The sequence below is a fragment of the Homo sapiens genome, chromosome 19 (genome assembly GCF_000001405.40).
Source record: "Homo sapiens chromosome 19, GRCh38.p14 Primary Assembly".
In the NCBI taxonomy this organism is placed as follows: Eukaryota; Metazoa; Chordata; class Mammalia; order Primates; family Hominidae; genus Homo; species Homo sapiens.
Window position 1 is genome coordinate 19580918 of NC_000019.10, and position 18900 is coordinate 19599817.

Sequence of the window (18900 nt, forward strand, 5' to 3'; positions counted from 1 at the left end):
AGACGAGGTTTTGCCATGTTGCCCAGGCTGGTCTTGAACCCCTGGATTCAAGTGATCCTCCTGCCTTGGCCTCCCAAAGTGCTAGGATTACAGGCATGAACCACTACGCCCGACCAGATTTTACCTTGTTTAGAGTAGGACTCCTAGAAAGGTGATCTGTCCTCTGGGCCAGCCCACACCTGTCACCTGCCTACAGCGAGGCCAGCACAGACACCAGCATCCGCACATGGAAATGTATTGCAATTTGACAGAGTAATTTGATGTCTATTGAATTTAACACAACTTTTGGCCTTACTGACTTGTATGTCTGTTTTATTTTTCCTTTCTTTTCCCCAGTAGTTCATCTTGCTTCTGTTTTACATGGCCACCATGCTGGGGTGGCCAAAACCGTGCCTGAGGCTGGAGGGGCCTGAAGGCTGAGCCTGAGCTGCTGCTGGAAGCTCTGATGAGCCTCTGAACCACCCCAGTCCCAGATCCAAACTCTCAGGGCCCGTAAGAGCTGGGGTGGAACAGTCCAGAATTGAGAGTAAACCTATTTCCTCGCACGCATCTGTAGGATGCCTGCTTCCCCTCTGCGTCATTACTGTCTTGCGGGTGGCGGTGGCACTGCCACTTGGAAGGAGCCGGCATTCCACGTTCCTGTGTCAGGGAGGTGATGACACAGGGCAGAGCGCCTGCTCCAGCACTTCCAGTGGAGAAAACACCAGGACACCAAACAAGGAAGGGGAGACAAAGGCCACGCTGCAGGAGGAGCGACCTACTCACTTTGGGAGACCTGTTTGGTGGGAAGCAGGCCTGTCCAACCCCAAGAATGCCAGCCCAGGGGTGTCAGGAAGGCTGCGGGAACCCAGGTCATGCGGTGCTGCCATTGGCTTTGGGAGCTGAGGGACTGGATAAGGTTATTGGCCAAGGAAGGTGTTCCTGCCACGATGCAAGGTGACAGTGTGAGAATAGGTGGGGGCTTCCAAGTGGCTGGGTGGTGCTCTGAGCAGCAGGAGACGAGACTGGCTGTGAGAGGCCTATGGAGGAAGTGGTACCGCCTGATTCCCCAGGAGAGTGCCCTGGGATGTGAAGGACATCGTGGGGTGGCCCCAGCAGGAGGCTGGGGAGCCCAACACAGTGAAGGCAGAAGGCCAGCAGGACTCTTCCATGAGAACCCAAGGCCCCCTACCTTTGGGATCTGGCCTCATTTGCTCCTGGCACCTCCTCCCACCCCCCAAATCCTGCTGCTGCACACTCCTCTCACCTCTCAGCTCCAATCTAGCTTCCCAGTGATACGGGAGTGGGGCAAGGAAGTGCTGGGTAGAGAAGGGCGGGGTCCCTGGCGAGGGCTCCACCCTCGGCCCTGTGCCCTCGGACCTAAGTGAGAACAAGCATTTCTGTTTTTGTGGCCAAAAGGTTGCCTTTTGGCCTGCCACGCCCCACATCTTGTGCCCAAATAAGCCTGAGACCTTAAGCAGACACACACAAGCAGCTGGAAGTCGAGAGGAACACACCAGCAGAAGAACACACCAATAGACACTGGCGGGCCATTGATGGTGGAACAATGCAGACACCAAGGGAAATCCAGGAGAGCCCAGTCACTGAGCGGCCCAACTCCAGGGCAAAACCACCTTCCCAATCCAACCCCCTTTGGGCCCCCCATCCATCTGCTGAGAGCTACCTACACCACTCAGTAAAACCCTGTACTCATTCTCCATGCCCACATGTGATCCGATTTTTCCAGTACACTAAGGCAAGAACCCCAGAATATAGAAAGCCCTTTGTCCTTGAGATAGGGCAGAGGGTCTAACTGAGCTGATTAACACAAGAAGCCTGCTTCTCTTTCAGCTAAGCTGAAAGAGCACACTGTAACGCATGCCCACTGGGGCTTTGGGAGCTATAAACACAACCCTAAGACGCTGCGCTGCTGCTGTGGGGTTGGAGACCACGTTCCCCCCACCTGTCTGACTGCATGCTCCCCCTTAGGGGTTTGAGCTGTGGGGCACCGAAGAAGTGAGCCACATCCGTCACACACCCTGCAAGGGGGAAAAGGGAACACTCCTGTTTCACCCGGGCTCCGGGAACACCAAGCTCAGGCCTGCGTCATGAACTCTTTCCCAGCAAGAGAGCGGAGGTGGCCAGGCGCGGTGGCTCATGCCTGTAATCCCAGCACTTTGGGAGGCTGAGGTAGGTGGATCACCTGAGGTCAGGAGTTCAAGACCAACCTGACCAACATGGCGAAACCCCGTCTTTACTGTGATCCCAGCTACTTGGGAGGCTGAGACATGAGAATAGCTTGAACCTGGGAGGTGGAGCTTGCAGTGGGCCGAGATCGTGCCATTGCACTCCAGCCTGGGCAACAAAGCGAGACTCCGTCTCAAAAAAACAAAACAAAACAAAACAAAACAAAACAAAACAAAGATGCAGAAAGGCCAGGTTCAGTGGCTCACCCTGTAATCCCAGCACTTTGGGAGGCTGAGGTGGGAAGATCACTTCAGCTCAGGAGTTTGAGAGCAGCCTGGGCAACATAGCAAGACCCCATCTCTACAAAAAATTTTAAAAAATGAGTCAGGTTTGGTGGCACACACCTGTAATCCCAGCTACTCGAGAAGCTGAGACAGGAAGATCGCTTGAGCCCCGGAGTTTGAGGCTGCAGTGAGCTGACTGCGCCACTGCACTCCAGCCAGTTCGACAAAGTAAGACCCCCTCTCCCACCAAAAAAAGATACAGAAAATTAACAAAATCAATTAAAACCCTTGGGCAAACCTGGTCAGGCACGGTAGCTCATGCCCTAATCCCAGCACTTTAGGAGGCTGGGGTTGGGGGGAATCACCTGAGGTCAGGAGTTCCAGACCAGCCTGGCCAACATAGTGAAACCCCATCTCTACTAAAAATAGAAAAAGCTCACGCCTGTAAACCCAGCACTTTGGGAGGTTGAGGCGGGAAGATCACCTCAGATCAGGAGTTGGAGACCAGCCTGACCAACATGGAGAAATCCCATCTCTACTAAAAATACAAAATTAGCTGGGCATGGTGGCACATGCCTGTAATCCCAGCTACTCGGGAGGCTGAGGCAGGAGAATTGCTTGAACCCACGAGGCGGAGGTTGTGGTGAGCCGAGATCATGCCATTGCACTACAGCCTGGGCAACAAGAGCGAAACTTCATCTCAAGAAGAAAGAAAGAAAAATTAGCTGGGTGTAGTGGTGCACACCTGTAATCCCAGCTACTCAGGAGGTGGAGGCTCGAGAACCGCTTGCACCCAGGAGGCGGAGGTAGCAGTGAGCCAAGATCGTGCCACTGCACTCCAGCCTGGGTGACAGAGCGAGACTCTGATTCAAAAAAATAAAAAACCCACAGGCAAATCAAAGAATAGAAAGAACCTTCCTTAACCTGATAATGGGCATGTCCTCAAGCCCCACAGCAAACCCCAGTCTTCCTGGAGATATTTTAAAGCCACTGATTCAAATCAGACACAGGTAGACAGGGAGGTCCCTCCTCGGCTCAGACCAGCAGGGTCCAGTCAAGGAGACCAGAAACTCGGGAGGGGGACAGACCAGCAGGCAGCAAGGCATGACGAAGAAGATGTGACCCACTCACAGGCTGAAGGGTGTCCCTACAGCTGGAGTAACCCAGAGAGTCATGGATGTAATGGACAACTTCCCCTCCCCTCCACACTGCCCCCAACAGACCTCAAGGTGTGGTCTGACATGACCAAGGGCTGGTTTTTTTTTTTTTTTTTTTTGAGATGAAGTCTCACTCTGTTGCCTAAACTGGAGTGCAGTGGCACAATCTCGGCTCACGGCAACCTCCACCTCCAGGGTTCAAGCGATTCTCCTGCCTCAGCCTCCTGAGTAGATGGGACTATAGGCATGCACCACCATGCCTGGCTAATTTTTGTATTTTTAGTAGAGATGGGGTTTCACTATGTTGGCCAGGCTGGTCTCGAGCTCCTGACCTCGTGATCACCCCCTTGGCCTCCCAAAGGGCTGGGATTACAGGCGCGAGCCACCTCCTGGCCCAAGGGCTGTTTTATCTTATGGTTTCCTGGGCATCATGGGCACTGAGTTTACTCCTTAACTCTAAACAAGGAGACTTCTGGAGCCCAGCCTGTTTGTATTAAGAACTGCCTGGCTTTACCTTTTAGGCCACATCCCACAGGTTAGTTCATTTAAGTAACATTCTAGGACAGGCGCTAGAACAGGCTTTGTTCTGTTCTCTGAGGCAGACCAGCCTGGCCAACATGGTGAAACCCCATCTCTATTAAAAATATAAAATTAGCTGGGCGTGGTAGTGCACACCTGTAATTCCAGCTACTTGGGGGGCTGAGGCAGGAGAATCTCTTGAACCCGGGAGGCAGAGGTTGAGGTGAGTCCAGATTGCGCCACTATACTCCAGCCTGGGTGACAGTGTGAGACTCCATCTCAAAAAAAAAAAGTAACATTCTAGATAAATCCTTATCTTAAGTCATGGAAGTTTCTCAGATCCACAGGACTTTAAAAAGAATAACCCTTAAAAAACACTCATCAGTTTCTGAAATAGTGGCTGCCACACACTAGATATTCACCCAACTGAGGGATTATCACACTAGGCAAATCTCCGTCATCTCTAATTAAAATACATCACAACCAGTCACAACTGAAGTGTGTCAGGCCTCTGAGCCCAAGCTAAGCCATCATATCCCTTGTGACCTGCACGTATACATCCAGATGGCCTGAAGCCACTGAAGATCCACAAAAGAAGTGAAAATAGCCTTAACTGATGACATTCCACCATTGTAATTTGTTTCTGCCCCACCCTAACTGATCAATGTACTTTGTAATCTCCCCCACCCTTAAGAAGGTTCTTTGTAATTCTTTCCACCCTTGAGAATGTACTTTGTGAGATCCACCCCCTGCCCAAAAAACACATTACTCCTAACTTCACCGCCTATCCCAAAACCTATAAGAACTAATGATAATCCCACCACCCTTTGCTGACTCTCTTTTTGGACTCAGCCCACCTGCACCCAGGTGAAATAAACAGCCATGTTGCTCACAGAAAGCCTGTTTGGTGGTCTCTTCACACGGACGCGTGAGAAATGAAGATGCTGGAACCACAATCAAATATGCAAATTAATTTCATTTCCATATGTTTACATGTTTGTTAATTAAAACACTGCAGTTCTGAAATAAACTAGTATGTGATTTTTAAAAAAATGCCTACTGTTCTGTACATTTAAAAAATAAATAGGCTGAGCATGTGGTGGCTTATGCCTGTAATCCTAGCACTTTGAGGGGCTGAGACGGGAGGATCACTTAAGCCCAGGAGTCCCAGACCAGCCTGGGCAACACAGCAAGACCCCCATCTATAAAAAGTACAAAAATTAGCCGGATATGGTGGCTTCTATCTGTAGTCTCAGCTACTTGAGAGGCTGAGGTGGGAGGATCACCTGAACCTGGGAAGTCAAGAATGCATTGAGCCATGATCATGCCACTGTACTCCAGCCTGTCTCTTTGAGACAGAGCAAGACCCTGTCTCAAAAAATAAACAAACAATTATATGAGCTGCTAATGCTGAGTAAAAATGATATGCGGTTTAGGCTTGTTTTTCTGTGCTACTGTCCTTGCATGTGGTAACAGGGCAAAAGGAAGACAGCAAAACACTGTAATATATAGTGCTGTAATATATATTTTTCCAGATGTGCCAGGCAGCACATCTGGAAAAACAAGCCCCTGTGAGGAGTTGCAAACATTTAAGAGCCACAGCTAAGAAAAACAGCACTTGGCCGGGCATGATGGCTCCTGCCTGTAATCCCAGCACTTTGGGAGGCCACGAAGTCAGGAGATCAGGATTATCATGGCTAACACGGTAAAACCCCATCTTTACTAAAAATACAAAAAATTAGCCAGGCGTGGTGGCATGCACCTGTAGTCCCAGCTACTCAGGAGGCTGAGGCAGGAGAATCGTTTGAACCCAGGAGGTGAAGGTTACAGTGAGCCGAGATCGCGCCACTGTACTCCAGCATGGGCGACAGAGTGAGATTCCGTCTCAAAAAAAGAAAAAGAAAAAGAAAAAGAAAAACAGCACTCACTGATGGCTTCTATCTACCATAAACAATTTTCTTTTTCTTTTTAATTTTTTTGAGACGCAGTCTCACTCTATTGCCCAGGCTGGAGTGCAGTGGCACAATCTTGGCTCACTGCAACCTCTGCCTCTCAGGTTCAAGTGATTCTCCTGCCTCACCCTCACAAGTAGCTGGGATTACAGGCACCCGCCACCCCACCCAGCTAATTTTTGTTTTTTTGTTTTGTTTTTGTTTTTTGACTACCAGAAAATAAACACGAACTTTATTAATAGCAATAGAAAGGGTTTCCAATTTCTCAGAATGAAAATAACATGACACCAGTACAAGTGTTAAAACAGTAGGCCGGGAGCAGTGGCTCACGCCTGTAATACCAGCACTTTGGAAGGCCAAGGCGGGCATATCACCTGAGGTCGGGAGTTTGAGACCAGCCTGGCCAACGTGGTGAAACCCCATCTCTACTAAAAATACAAAAATTAGCCGGGCGTGGTGGCGGACTCCTGTAATCCCAGCTACTTGGGCAGCTGAGGCAGGAGAACTGCTTGACCCCGGGAGGCAGAGGTTGTGGTGAGCCAAGATCGAGCCATTGCACTCCAGCCTGGGTGACAGAGCAAGACTCCGTCTCAAATTAAAAAAAAAAAAAAAAAAAAAGAGTAAATGCCTACATTTCTTGTTCTGATAGCTTCCCACCACACACCAAAGGTTCCTCAAGGACAGCTGCCACAGAGCTGCTGCAAGAACATGTTTTCCACTGAGCGTAGTTTCACAGTCAACTACTCAAGCAGAAGACTAAAATATTATTTCTTTTTAGAAGATCTTGGTTGAGGGAGCACATATCAATATGGAGAACAGATCTTTGCTTCTCGAATTCAAGAAAAAACATTAATTAATCTATCAGTTTTTCTCCGATACAGTGTCCCAGAGTGCTCTGTGAAGAATCCTTTTACATCCCTACTACATGCCTGGGTGAAGGGAGAGGAGGGGGTGGCAAGCTGCCAGTACACCAGCAGGCACTCCTGGTGATGCTCTGGGCTCTGCTCCCTTTCTGCTGGTAATAGTAGGCATCTTTTCTGAAAGCTGCAGCAGCTTGATGTGGGGCGGTGGGGAGGAAGGGGCCACTTACCAATCACCTCTTCTTGAAGCCGTATTTTTTGCGTTCATAGAAGAGGTCTTAGAGCTCCCCAAATAGACAATCTTCAGGCAGCCATCCCTATTCTTCTCCTGGATGGTGCACTCCTTACAATAATAGGCATCAGAGACCCCAGGGCCTCCACAGATCACACAGAGCCCCGGTAAGATCCATAGTTACATTCATCACATATGCACACCAGAGTGCAGGGACGCACATAGGAGTCACAGATAACACATTTGCCATCACATTTTTCACACAGTCATCTGATGGCAACACCAGCCTGCTTGCGGCAAAAGATCAAATCAGGATGATGTTTAGCCATAGTTCCCAACTAAGCTGGCCACCACACAATTTTTGTATTTTTAGTAGAGACAGGGTTTCACCATGTTGGCCAGGCTGGTCTCGAACTCCTGACCTCGTGATCTACCCGCCTCACCCTCCGAAAGTGCTGGCATTACAGGTGTGAGCCACCGTGTGGCCCAATTTTTTCATCTGAAGAAATGCTCTAATTTCAAACAACAACAAATGAGAGCCATGGGGGAAAGGTCTAGAAGCTTCAGGAGCTGGGCTACAGTCACCATGAGGTGTGGTGCCTCTTTGGCTGAGTCTCACACAGGGAGGTAACCAGCCTAGCAACATGCACACTAACCATGACCAACCAATTCCCAGCCTGCGAATCAAAGAGTTTTAGGTCATCCAATGCCCTGACTACTCTAAAAAGAATTTCCCAAGGAACTGATCTATCAATAAGTTCACCAGGGCTGGACAGGTTGGCTCATCCCTGTAATCCCAGCACTTTTAGAGGCTGAGAAGGGAGGATTGCTTGAGGACAAGAGTTTAAGACCAGCCTGGGCAACACAGCAAGATCCCATCTCCACAAAAAAATATCCAGGCATGGTGGTGCCCACTTGTAGTCCCAGCTACTCCAGAGGCTGAGGCAGGAGGATCACTTGAGCCCGGGAATTCAAGGGAGCAGTGAGCTATGATCACACCAGTGCCTCCAACCCGCATGACAGAGCGAGATCTTGACTCAAAAAAAGAACGTAAAAAGAGGCTGGGTGCGGTGGCTCACACCTATAGTCCCAGCACGTTGAGAGGTCGAGGCCGGCGGATCACGAGGTCAGGAGATCGAGACCATCCTGGCTAACACGATGAAACCCCATCTCTACTAAAAATACAAAAAATTAGAGGAGTGTGGTGGTGGGCGCCTGTAGTCCCAACTACTCAGGAGGCGGAGGCAGGAGAATGGCATGAACCCGAACCCAGGAGGTGGAGCTTGCAGCGAGCCGAGATTGCACCACTGCACTCCAGCCTGGGCAACTGAGCGAGACTCTGTCTAAAATAAATAAATAAATAACTAAAGACAAAGAAAAAGAAAGAAAAAAAAGTTCTGGTCAGGCACGGTGGCTCATGCCTGTAAATCCCAGCACTTTGGGAGGCCGAGGCGGGTGGATTACCTGAGGTCAGGAGTTCGAAACCAGCCTGGCCAACGCGGTGAAATCCCATCTCTACTAAAAATACAAAAATTAGTTGGGCATGGTGGCGGGCACCTGTAATCCCAGCTACTTGGGAGGCTGAGGCAGGAGACCCGCTTGAACCCGGGAAGTGGAGGTTGCAGTGAGCCGAGATCGCACGATTGCACTCCAGCCTGGGTGACAGAGCGAGACTCCATCTCAAAAGAAAAAAAGAAGCTCCCTAGTATCTACGGTGTGCCAATCCCACAACAGGGCAGAGATGAACCACAGATCTGCCTTGTGCTTTCTTGATGCTGGTCTTCCAGGAAAGGAGTCAGAGGTCAGAAGACAAACCAGAAAAGTGCAAGCACACAAGACAGTTTCCGTCAGTGGTTAAGCCCTAAGAGGCAGCAAAGAAGTGCTAATTCATAAGAATGTGTATGTGCACTAAGGCCTTAAGCTACAGGCACACTGTTTTAGATACGGCCCCTACCAAAGACCCTCAATCCTTGAGGTAAGCTTTATTGAGATATAATTCACATGCCATATAATTCATCTGCTTAAAGTGAATACTTCAGTGGTTTTTAGTTTATTTCCAAGGTTGTGCGACCACCACCACTAGCTAACATTCTCATCCTCCCTAAAGATACCCCGTCTCTATGAGCAGTCACTCTTTACGCCCCCTCCCTAGCCCCGGGACAACCACGAGTCTTCCTGTCTCTATGGATTTGCCTGATCTGGACTCTTCATATTGATGGAATCACACAGCATGTGATGTGACACTTCACATCTGGCTTCTCCTACCCAGCATCATGTTTTCAAGGTGCACCCATGTTGCAGCCTGTGCCAATACTTCATTCCTCTTTATGGCTGAATAATACTCCATTGCATGGATGGACCACGTTTTGTTTTGTTTTCTTTCTTTTTTTTTTTTTTTTGAGAGAGAGTCTTGCTCTGTCACCTAGGCTGGAGTACAGTGGCGTGATCTCCGCTCACTGCAACCTCCGCCTCCCAGGTGCAAGTGATTCTCGCGCCTCAGCCTCCCGATTAGCTGGGATTACAGGCATATGCCACCACGCCCAGCTAATTTTTATATTTTTAGTAGAGACGGGGTTTCACCATGTTGGCCAGGCTGGTCTCGAACCCCTGACCTCAAATGATCCCCCCACCTTGGCCTCCCAAAGTGCTGGAATTACAGGTGTGAGCCATGGCGCCTGGACACACATTTTGTTTTTCTAGTTATCATGGACATCAGGTTGTTTTCAGATTCCTTAATCTGTATATTTATATACAATGATCCACTTCTCTGTCCAACAGACACTTTGGCAATGATAGGATGTTCTAGACCTTTCTATTATAGGAGGCACCAGCCCTGTGTGGCTGCTGAGACTTGAAATGTGGCTGGTGTGGCTGAGGAATGCACTGGTTAATTGCATTTGGTTTTAATTAATTCAAATGTAAACAGCCCTGCGTTGAGTATCTGGAGCCACCCAGCTGATGAGACTCAGGGGCTCAATTTGTGAGTTACCCTGAGACTGAGGGGAGGAAAGGATACTCCAATCAACCTGGAGAATAAGTCCCCCAGCTGCCGGGGTCTACTCCCACAAGAACCCTAAAGAAATGTACATGGGACTCAGCCCCAGGGTACAGCTAATTAGAAAAAGGATCTCAGTTCCAGAGAGGTGACTCATAGGCCTCAGGGTGACTGCTAGGACCCAGGAAAGCCCCATGAGCACCATGACACCCCAGCTTCCTGGCTGAATTTACAGAACCCGATTCTGTAATTGCAACAGATCCGACCAGCTGACGAGGAAGGGAAAGAATGAGAATGGCTTATGCCTGCCAACTACTAGCAAGGCCAATCATTAGTCAGGAAGACAAAAAGGCATTCCCTGATGTTATGCATTATTTACATTTACTCCTCTGAATGGGGCTCTGTGCGTTCCTACAGCACAGCAAGGGTTCCTGCAGCACAACAGCCCTGGCTGAGAAACTTCTTGTTCCCCAGAGACACAGTCACAGGGTGGAGAAGGCAAAGCAGGCCCCTTCTCAAGAACGGCCCAGGATGGGATGGCCGAGTGGGTCTGCAAGGGGCCTCTGGGGCTCAGCACACCGCCTCGGAGCTGCCTACCCACTCGAGATCTGAGATCCGAAGCTTTTCACACAAGCTGTCACTCATGCTCATGTGGAGGTAAAGCCTGACACATTCCAACGTGCCAGGCTGTCCCTGCTCTGGTGCCAAACACCACTGTGTGAATTCAGGCCACGCCTCAGTCCTCACTGGGAACATCAATGTGACAAACCTTATTTTTTATTTTTATATTTTTTTAGAGGCAGAGTCTCACTTTGTCGCCCAAGCTGGGGTGCAGTGGTGTGATCTCAGCTCACTGCAAACCTCACATCCCAGGTTCAAGTGATTCTTCTGCCTCAGCCTCCCGTGTAGCTAGGATTATAGGCACCCGCCACCATGCCCAGCTAGTTTTTGTATTTTTAGTAGAGATGGGTGGGTGAGGGAGGTGGGGGGGTGGTTCACCATATTGGCCAGGCTGGTCTCGAACTCCTGACCTCAGGTGATCCGTCTGCCTCAGCCTCCCAAAGTGCTGGGATTATAGGCGTGAGCCACTGTACCTGGCCAACGTGACACATCTTAAATCCAACGCTTTCGAATTCTGCAACATACCTAGTCCCAGGGTCTCAGCAAAGGGACTGTGGCCCGTATCTGGTTCTCCCAGCTAAATTCAAAGCTCTGCAACTAATCAGGGTTTATTTTGTTCTCAGAACAGCTCCTCTAGACACCGAGGAGGACAGCTGTTTCTGGGAAGGAGGGTTTGGGAGGAAATGCATACGCTGAGGGTGTCCTTGGCCTTCAGAGACCACCGCAGGGCAGGAACACCCAGACACTGTGGTGTGGTGAAGCTGACCCCAGGAGACAAGCTTTGAGGGACCTGCCTGCATACCTCCGACAGGCCATTCCTGGGGTTCACCAGGGACTGCTGGCAGTGCATCCGGTGATGCCAGGTTTACATGGAGGACCACGTTCTTTTCAGGCTGCTGTGAGTGATAAGCCCTGTGTTCTAAGTCAGGCCCCCAGACACTGAATCTTCTGAACCTCATAAGGGGAACTGGATGAAAGGGATTTCAGTTAGTATGTATCAGTCACCAGAAACAGTTTTTCAATCAACAAAAACAGAAAGGCACCGGGACAGACCCTGAGAACATAGCGCATCCTAGACCCTGCGCTGGCCAGGAATGGTCATTGTTCAGATGACACAGGTGGGTGTGTGGGGCCCATGAGTGCCGGCCATGAGGGACAGGCCCTGGGTCCCTTTCATGAGTGAGGACAGTGTACGGGGTGGGGCGGCATGCAGCCTGGCTGTGGGTGACTGGTGTGCCCTGGGGAGGCCCCTGTCTCTTAGAGCTTCCCACTGCCCATCTGTAAAACGGGAGAAAAGGGTCTGCCCGAGGCTGTGCAGGGCTCTGGGGAACAACTCGAGGAAGCCCCGAGCTGCCTGCCCAGGCTCCATCAATACCCACCAGACTTAATCTTTGCCGTTGTTGTTGTTGTAGAGACAGGGTCTTACTGTGTTGCCCAGGTTGGTCTCATACTCTTGGGCTCAAGCGATTCCAAAGTACTGGGATTATAAGTGTGAGCCACCATGTCCTGCCCCACCAGGCTTTAAATGCTCTGTGGAAGTTTGGTCTTTACCATAAGGCCTGCTGCAGACTTCAGCCAGAGGGAAATGTGAGAACTGTGGGTTAAATCGAGAAGCACGCCAGGACCCCGGCTCATGGGATTGCCCTTCAAGAGGCGGCCCGTGGGTACCACAGGGTGCAGGATCAGGACCATGAACAGTTTCCTCTGGGCTGAGACTTGGCCATTCCTAGTCACGGGATGAGGACAGATGGAGCAGAATCGAAATCCTGTTTACTTTCCTGCCACTGGCTGGTTTGTCTCCGAGACTAGAAGGCTGAGGTGTTCCTGACATCAAGGCAGGTGGCCCACAGGTGGGACCCACAGCACTCACTGACTGCACTTCCTGATATAAAAAGATACCTGGACACTCCAGGTGACACTCAGGAACAGGCATCCCTCAGCTCCAGGCTTGTGCATTTCAGGGAGGAGCAGTTGCTGTCTCATCCCTGTCCTACTGTACCCCAAAACATACCCTGTACCCAGATGTTTGAGCCAGTCAGTGGGAAGAAAGCATTAGCTTCCAAGGAAATGCCCAGGTGGCCGGTGCTCTGAGCCCTGCAGCGGCCTTGGGACTCAGCTTGGAGGAATCAAAAGTCCTGAGTGGCCAGGCACAGTGGCGCCTGCCTGTAACCCCACACCTTGGGAGGCTGAGGCAGGAGGATCACTTGAGCTCAGGAGTTCAAGGCCAACCTGGGCAACATACTAAGACCTCATCCCCCCAAAAATAGTCCTCAGCGACCCCTAGACATGGTGGTGTGTGCGGAAGCTGAGGTGTGAGGATCACTTGAGCCCAGGAGTTTGAAGCCAATCTGGGCAACACAGTGAGACTCTGTGTCTTAATTAAAAAAAAAAAAAAATAAAAAATAAAAAATTAAAAATGTCGCCGGGCATGGTGGCACATGGCTGTAATCCCAGCACTTTGGGAGGCCGAGGCGGGCGGATCACCTGAGGTCAAGAGTTCAAGACCAGCCTGACCAACAGGGTGAAACCCTGTCTCTACTAAATACAAAAAATTAGCCGGGTGTGGTGGCAGATGCCTGTAATCCCAACTACTCGGGAGGCTGAGGCAGGAAAATTGCTTGAACCTGGGAGGCAGTGAGCCGAGATTGCGCCATTGCACTCCAGCCTAGGCAACAAGAGTGAAACTCTGTCTAAAAAAAAAAAAAAAAGAGTCCTGAGCATGGCCCTCAAAGCCTAGGCAGATGGGGGTAGGGAGGTGGGGCGACACCAGCGGTTGAAATGGACAGACATCTCAGCTGCACTGGCAACAGTTGGTATCAACTCTTGTTTTCCCTCCTGAAACTGCTGAATTTGAGACTAACAGACTCATGCAGTAACATCCACACAGGGGCAGATGGAATTATGAAGAGGCGTGCCCAGGCTGAACACCCACACTCTCAAAAATTGGTTTCTCGTTCAGCCCCAGCAGCTCACTGGTAGGAAGGTCAAGAATGACAGCTTCCTGAGACTACAGTTGATTAAAGTACTTTTTTTTTTTAGACAGGGTCTCACTCTGTCACCCAGGCTGGAGTGCAGTGGCGCAATGTCATCTCACTGCAACCTCTGCCTCCTGGGTTCAAGTGATACTCCTGCCTCAGCCTCCTGAGTAACTGGGATTACAGGCGCATGCCACCACGCCCAGCTAATTTTTGTATTTTTAGTAGAGACGGGGTTTCATCATGTTGGTCAGGCTGGTCTCGAACTCCTGATCTCAGGTGGTCCAACTGCCTCGGCCTCCCAAAGTGCTGGGATTACAGGCGTGAGCCACCGCACCCAGCCTTTAAAAAGTACTTTTTAAAATAGTTTTTTATTATTACTAAATTCCAGATGTTGCATTGCTAAACATCCGCTGTGGGCAGTGGGGAGCCCCCAAAGGCTGCTTCCTGGGGTCAGGGTCAGGGGTGAGCAAGGGACAACTTGGGCTGCCTGTGCCTATTGGTACACATGCCTCAGCAAGTGGTCCTGACACTGGCTTATTTTTATTAGGTGAAAAGTGAAAGGGACCAACATTACACAATTCCACAATACTAAGAAACACGTGACCACAGCCAGTGTCTCCAGGGGGTGGATACACATTGGCTGTGTCCTTCTGAGCGGCTTCCCTCAGCCTGCAGTACTTGGGGCTCATTCGGGTACAGGGCCCCCGCTTGTCCAGCTTACCACACGAATGCTGAAGCACCATCAGGGAGTGCTGCCAGGGAGTTGAGGGCAAATTTGCTTAAAACCAGTTCACCGCTAACAAGAAACTTGTGTGTCTGGTTCCCCAGGAAAGCCTAACCTTTGTGTTTCCATTTCCATGGCATCTGCTCCCCACAATTTAAATAAGGAACAGATAAGACAGGTCATCAGATATTTACATACCCATGAGAGGCATATGAGGTGGGCAGGAAGCCAGGGGCATCACAGCCCAGCATCTGGCCCCGTCGGGAGGATGACCTGGCACTGGGTGTTGGAGACCAACAGGGGGCATATCATGTGGGGGCTGTCAGCAGCAGCAGTCTGCTGGGGGGTGGGGACAAGGAGGGGTCTGCTTGGCTGGGGGATTAAGTATACTTGGGGGTGAAGGAGGTGGGAGATTGATTACACAAGCAAAAGTACTGAGGACAACAGGAGCAGGCTCTCACTGTTGGAGGAAGGAGTCACAAACCTGGGAAGAGAGAAAAATAGTGGGAACCCTGTGGTGAACTAGAATTAAAGATATTGGAGTGGGCCAGGTACAGTGGCTCATGCATGTAATCCCAGCACTTTGGGAGGCCAAGGTGGGAGTATTGCTTGAGCCCAGGAGGTTGAGGCTGCAATGAGCTGTGACTTCACCACTGCATTCCAGCCTGGTGACAGAGTGAGACCCTGTCTCAAAAATAAAAATAAGCTGGGTGCGGTGGATCACATCTCTAATCCCAGCACTTTGGGAGGCTGAGGCGGGCAGGTCACTTGAGGTCAGGAGTTTGAGACGAGTCTGGCCAACATGATGAAACCCTGTCTCTACTAAAAATACAAAATTAGCCAGGCGTGGTGGTGCACACCATAATCCCAGCTACTCAGAGGCTGAGGCAGGAGAAATGCTTGAACCTGGGAGGCTGAGATTGCACCACTGCACTCCAGGCTGGGCAACAGAGTGAGAATAAATAAATAAATAAATAAATAAACAAACAAAAATAAAGATATCATAATGAACTCATGGTTTTTAATATATAAAAACATAGGAAAACAGATGTGAATGTGTGCGCACGTGTGTGTGTGTACACACGCATCTGTAATAACCCACAAATATTCCTTAGCTCTGTGTCCTAAGAGTGTCCAAGAGCAGCAACACCCCAACAGCAATGAGCACATCAAAGGCCAAGATTTACTCTGAAAGGAATCAGGGCTCCTTAGAGAATTGGGTGAAGCAGGCAGAGGCAGAACAGAATATGAGCCTGGTTGGGCACAGTGGCTCACACACATAATCCCAGCATTTTGGGAGGCCAGGAGTTTGAGACCAGCCTGGGCAACATGACAAAACCCTCTCTCTACAAAAAATACAAAAATTAGCTGGGCAACGTGGCTCGTGCCTGTAGTCCCAGCTACTTGGGAGGATGGGGTGTGAGGATCACCCACCCAGGAGGCTGAAGTGAGCCAAGATTATGTCACTGCCCTCCAGCCTGGGTGACAGAGTGAGACCCTGTCTCCAAAAAAAAAAAAAAAAGGCCAGGTGTGATGGCTCACGCCTGTAATCCCAGCACTTTGGGAGGCAGACAGGCAGGCGGATCACCTGAGGTCAGGAGTTCAAGACCAGCCTGGCCAACATGGTGAAACCCCATCTTTAATAAAAAATACAAAAAATTAGCTGGGTGTGGTGGCAGGCGCCTGTAATCCCGGCTACTCAGAGGCTGAGGCAGGAGAATTGCTTGAACCTGGAAGGCGGAGATTGCAGTGAGCCAAGATCGTGCCATTGCACTCCAGCCTGGGCAATAAGAGTGAAACTCCATCTCCAAAAAATAAAAATAAAAATAAATTTACACTGGGGAGGGTTAGGGACATCATGTCCTCATAGCATTTAGGCGAAACTTAAATGTAGATTTAAACTTGAATTTCTCCTTTAGTCACCAGATCTCTTCTGAAGGCTGGGCACCATGCCCACAGCCTTACATATATGAATTCACACAGCCCTCAACAGTCCTCAGTAACCATGAGCTAAGTATTATTATTGCCCCACAAATCAGAGGAGGACCAGGAACAGAGAAAGGTTCAGCCAAGGACCAGGGTCATGCAGCCAGAGGTGGAGGCAGAATTCAGACCCTCTTGCTGTTCTCAACTACTATATATGTCAAGTACACATCAATCTTGCACCAAAACAGTGTTCAGAAAGAAGCACACTTTTGTACAACATATACACACACTTTCCACAAGCCTCAGCAAATATGAAGTGCTATGCTCCAAAGTGACACACAAAATTCAAATAATTGACCTCAAGAGACCAACTCACTCTAAGAAATCAAGTGACACGTTGTGCAGATGACCCTTGGTTTAAATATCTTCATCTTATTTGGTGGCCCCACTTATAAGCTACTTTCAAATTGTTATTAACCTTGACCAAGTGATCAAGGTCAATGGTAGCAGTGACAGGACATATTGACAGCATGTTTTCCCTGACACAATGTGCTGAGGACACACACATTGCCTCTGTGGGACTCTGGCCACAGATGCACAACTTCAGTCCAATCTAGAGGAAACATCAGACAAACCGCACTGAGGGATGTTCTACAAAATGACTGAGCGCTTCTTAAAATGGTCAGCGTCATTCATGGATGACAAGGTCACAGATCACAGGAGACCAAAGAGACATGATGACTAAATACAACGTGGGATTCAGGGCAGAAAAGGGCATTAGGGCAAAAACTGGGGAACTCCAAATGAGGTCTGTAGTTCAGTTAAAGATCATTGTACTCAGCGTAATTTCCTGGTTTCCATATTTGTACTATGGCTCTGAAGGTGTTGACGAGACAGGAAGCCCGGAGAAGGAGATACGAGAACTCTCTGTACTATTTTTTCAACTTTTCTTTTTCTTTTCTTTCCTTTTTTTTTTTTTTTTTGAGACGGAGTCTTACTCTTCTTGCCCAGGCTGGAGTGCAATGGCGCGATCTCGGCTCACTGCAACCTCCACCTCCTGGGTTCAAGTGATTCTCCTGCCTCAGCCTCCCAAGTAGCTGGGATTACAGGCATGTGCCACCATGCCTGGCTAATTTTGTATTTTTAGTAGAGATGGGGGTTTCACCATCTTGGCCAGGCTGGTCTTGAACACCTGACCTCGTGATCCACCTGCCTCGGCCTCCCAAAGTACTGGGACTACAGGTATGAGCCACTGTGCCCAGCCGACAAAACTGTTCTTATTCAATTTCCCTAAGTCTGTCATTTTTCCTTTTTCTATATGACTGAATGCTAAGCACCTCTTAGGTCTTCGACCTAGAATGCAGCTGCTTGTTACTGATTTGCAACAGTATTTCTCAGTTATAAACTACAAAATAAATCAGTGTGCATACTGGAAACCAGGGCAATGATAAGGCAGAAAGAAAACATCCTAGCCGTCTTCTGCGAGACAGAAGGGATGAGCAAAACGGCCCACCATGCACATAAGGGCTGAGACAAGATCAGAGGTGTGCTGCCGCAGCTCTAGTCACACACAGGAAGTGCCTTTTTTTTTTTTTTTTTTTTTGAGACAGAATTTCACTCTTGTTGCCCAGGCTGGAGTGCAATGGCGTGATCTTGGCTCACCGCACACTCTTGTTGCCCAGGCTGGAGTGCAATGGCGCGATCTTGGCTCACCGCAACCTCCACCTCCCAGGTTCAAGCGATTCTCCTACCTTAGCCCCCCGAGTAGCTGGGATTACCGGCATGCGTCACCACGCCTGGCTAATTTTTGTATTTTTAATAGAGACAGGGTTTCTCCATGTTGGTCAGGCTGGTCTGGAATCCAGCCTCAGGTGATCTGCCCGCCTCCGCCTCCCAATGTGCTGGGATTACAGGCATGAGCCACCACGCTCGGCCAGAAAGTGTCTTCTAAACAGCCTACCTGTCTTTTCCTTGATCTCACAGAGCACGCTGAACAGAGCAGGCTTCATCCGATGGCAATTCAGAGCATGCTTTCTGAAAGGGAGGTGACAGAGGAGGGTGTGAGAAAAGAATAGTCATCATCTTGTCCCCAAGAGTAAAGATCTTCCATACTGAGAAATCAAACCAAACGAGATCTGCCACTCTGACTGTAGATAAGTCGCCTTATGAAAATGCAGTACAATCATATTTCATGTGAATTTGATTTGCACAAAATCAATATAAAGGCCAGCCGTGGTGGCTCACGCCTGTAATCCCAGCACTTTGGGAGGTCGAGGCAGGTGGATCACTTGAGGTCAGGAGTTTGAGACCAGCCTGGCCAGCATGGTGAAACCCTATCTCTATTAAAAATACAAAACTTGGCCAGGCACAGTGGCTCATGCCTATAATCCCAGAACTTTGGGAGGCCAAGGCAGGCGGATTGCCTGAGGTCAGGAGTTCGAGACCAGCCTGGCCAGCATGGTGAAACCCTGTCTCTACTAAAAATA

General features: G+C 49.6%; 1 protein-coding gene and 1 pseudogene across 7 annotated transcripts in view, besides 6 other annotated features; both read right to left on the bottom strand.

Annotated features, from left to right (window-relative positions):
* Nucleotides 1–18900, bottom strand: part of PBX4 (PBX homeobox 4) — a 56975-nt gene that overhangs the window by 19205 nt on the left and 18870 nt on the right. For 2 of the 7 annotated variants that reach the window (XM_011528320.4, XM_047439472.1), the window contains exons 2-3: nucleotides 18375–18448; nucleotides 5020–5070 (exon numbers count right to left, since the gene is read on the bottom strand). The exons of 2 other annotated variants lie outside the window; for them this stretch is intronic. In XM_011528320.4, coding sequence (XP_011526622.1) covers nucleotides 5020–5070; nucleotides 18375–18448 — 125 coding nt within the window. Of the gene's footprint in view, nucleotides 1–5019; nucleotides 5071–18374; nucleotides 18452–18900 lie in introns of those variants that run through there. 3 more of the 7 variants (NR_038198.2, NM_025245.3, XM_011528322.2) reach the window with 2 other exon arrangements.
* On the bottom strand, nucleotides 6689–7522 carry PHF5AP1 (PHF5A pseudogene 1; annotated as a pseudogene).
* Nucleotides 10216–10375: an enhancer, noted in NCBI's record as "active region_14361". NCBI's record gives its function as "activates an Ori minimal core promoter by ATAC-STARR-seq in GM12878 lymphoblastoid cells {active_cell/tissue: GM12878}" and the evidence as "EXISTENCE:reporter gene assay evidence [ECO:0000049][PMID:35858748]".
* Nucleotides 10536–10585: an enhancer, noted in NCBI's record as "active region_14362". NCBI's record gives its function as "activates an Ori minimal core promoter by ATAC-STARR-seq in GM12878 lymphoblastoid cells {active_cell/tissue: GM12878}" and the evidence as "EXISTENCE:reporter gene assay evidence [ECO:0000049][PMID:35858748]".
* Nucleotides 11699–12323: an enhancer, noted in NCBI's record as "H3K27ac-H3K4me1 hESC enhancer chr19:19703425-19704049 (GRCh37/hg19 assembly coordinates)". NCBI's record gives its function as "activates a minimal SCP1, AML or CMV promoter by ChIP-STARR-seq in primed H9 embryonic stem cells {active_cell/tissue: H9 hESC(primed)}" and the evidence as "EXISTENCE:reporter gene assay evidence [ECO:0000049][PMID:30033119]".
* Nucleotides 17011–17220: an enhancer, noted in NCBI's record as "active region_14363". NCBI's record gives its function as "activates an Ori minimal core promoter by ATAC-STARR-seq in GM12878 lymphoblastoid cells {active_cell/tissue: GM12878}" and the evidence as "EXISTENCE:reporter gene assay evidence [ECO:0000049][PMID:35858748]".
* Nucleotides 17851–17960: an enhancer, noted in NCBI's record as "active region_14364". NCBI's record gives its function as "activates an Ori minimal core promoter by ATAC-STARR-seq in GM12878 lymphoblastoid cells {active_cell/tissue: GM12878}" and the evidence as "EXISTENCE:reporter gene assay evidence [ECO:0000049][PMID:35858748]".
* Nucleotides 18261–18390: an enhancer, noted in NCBI's record as "active region_14365". NCBI's record gives its function as "activates an Ori minimal core promoter by ATAC-STARR-seq in GM12878 lymphoblastoid cells {active_cell/tissue: GM12878}" and the evidence as "EXISTENCE:reporter gene assay evidence [ECO:0000049][PMID:35858748]".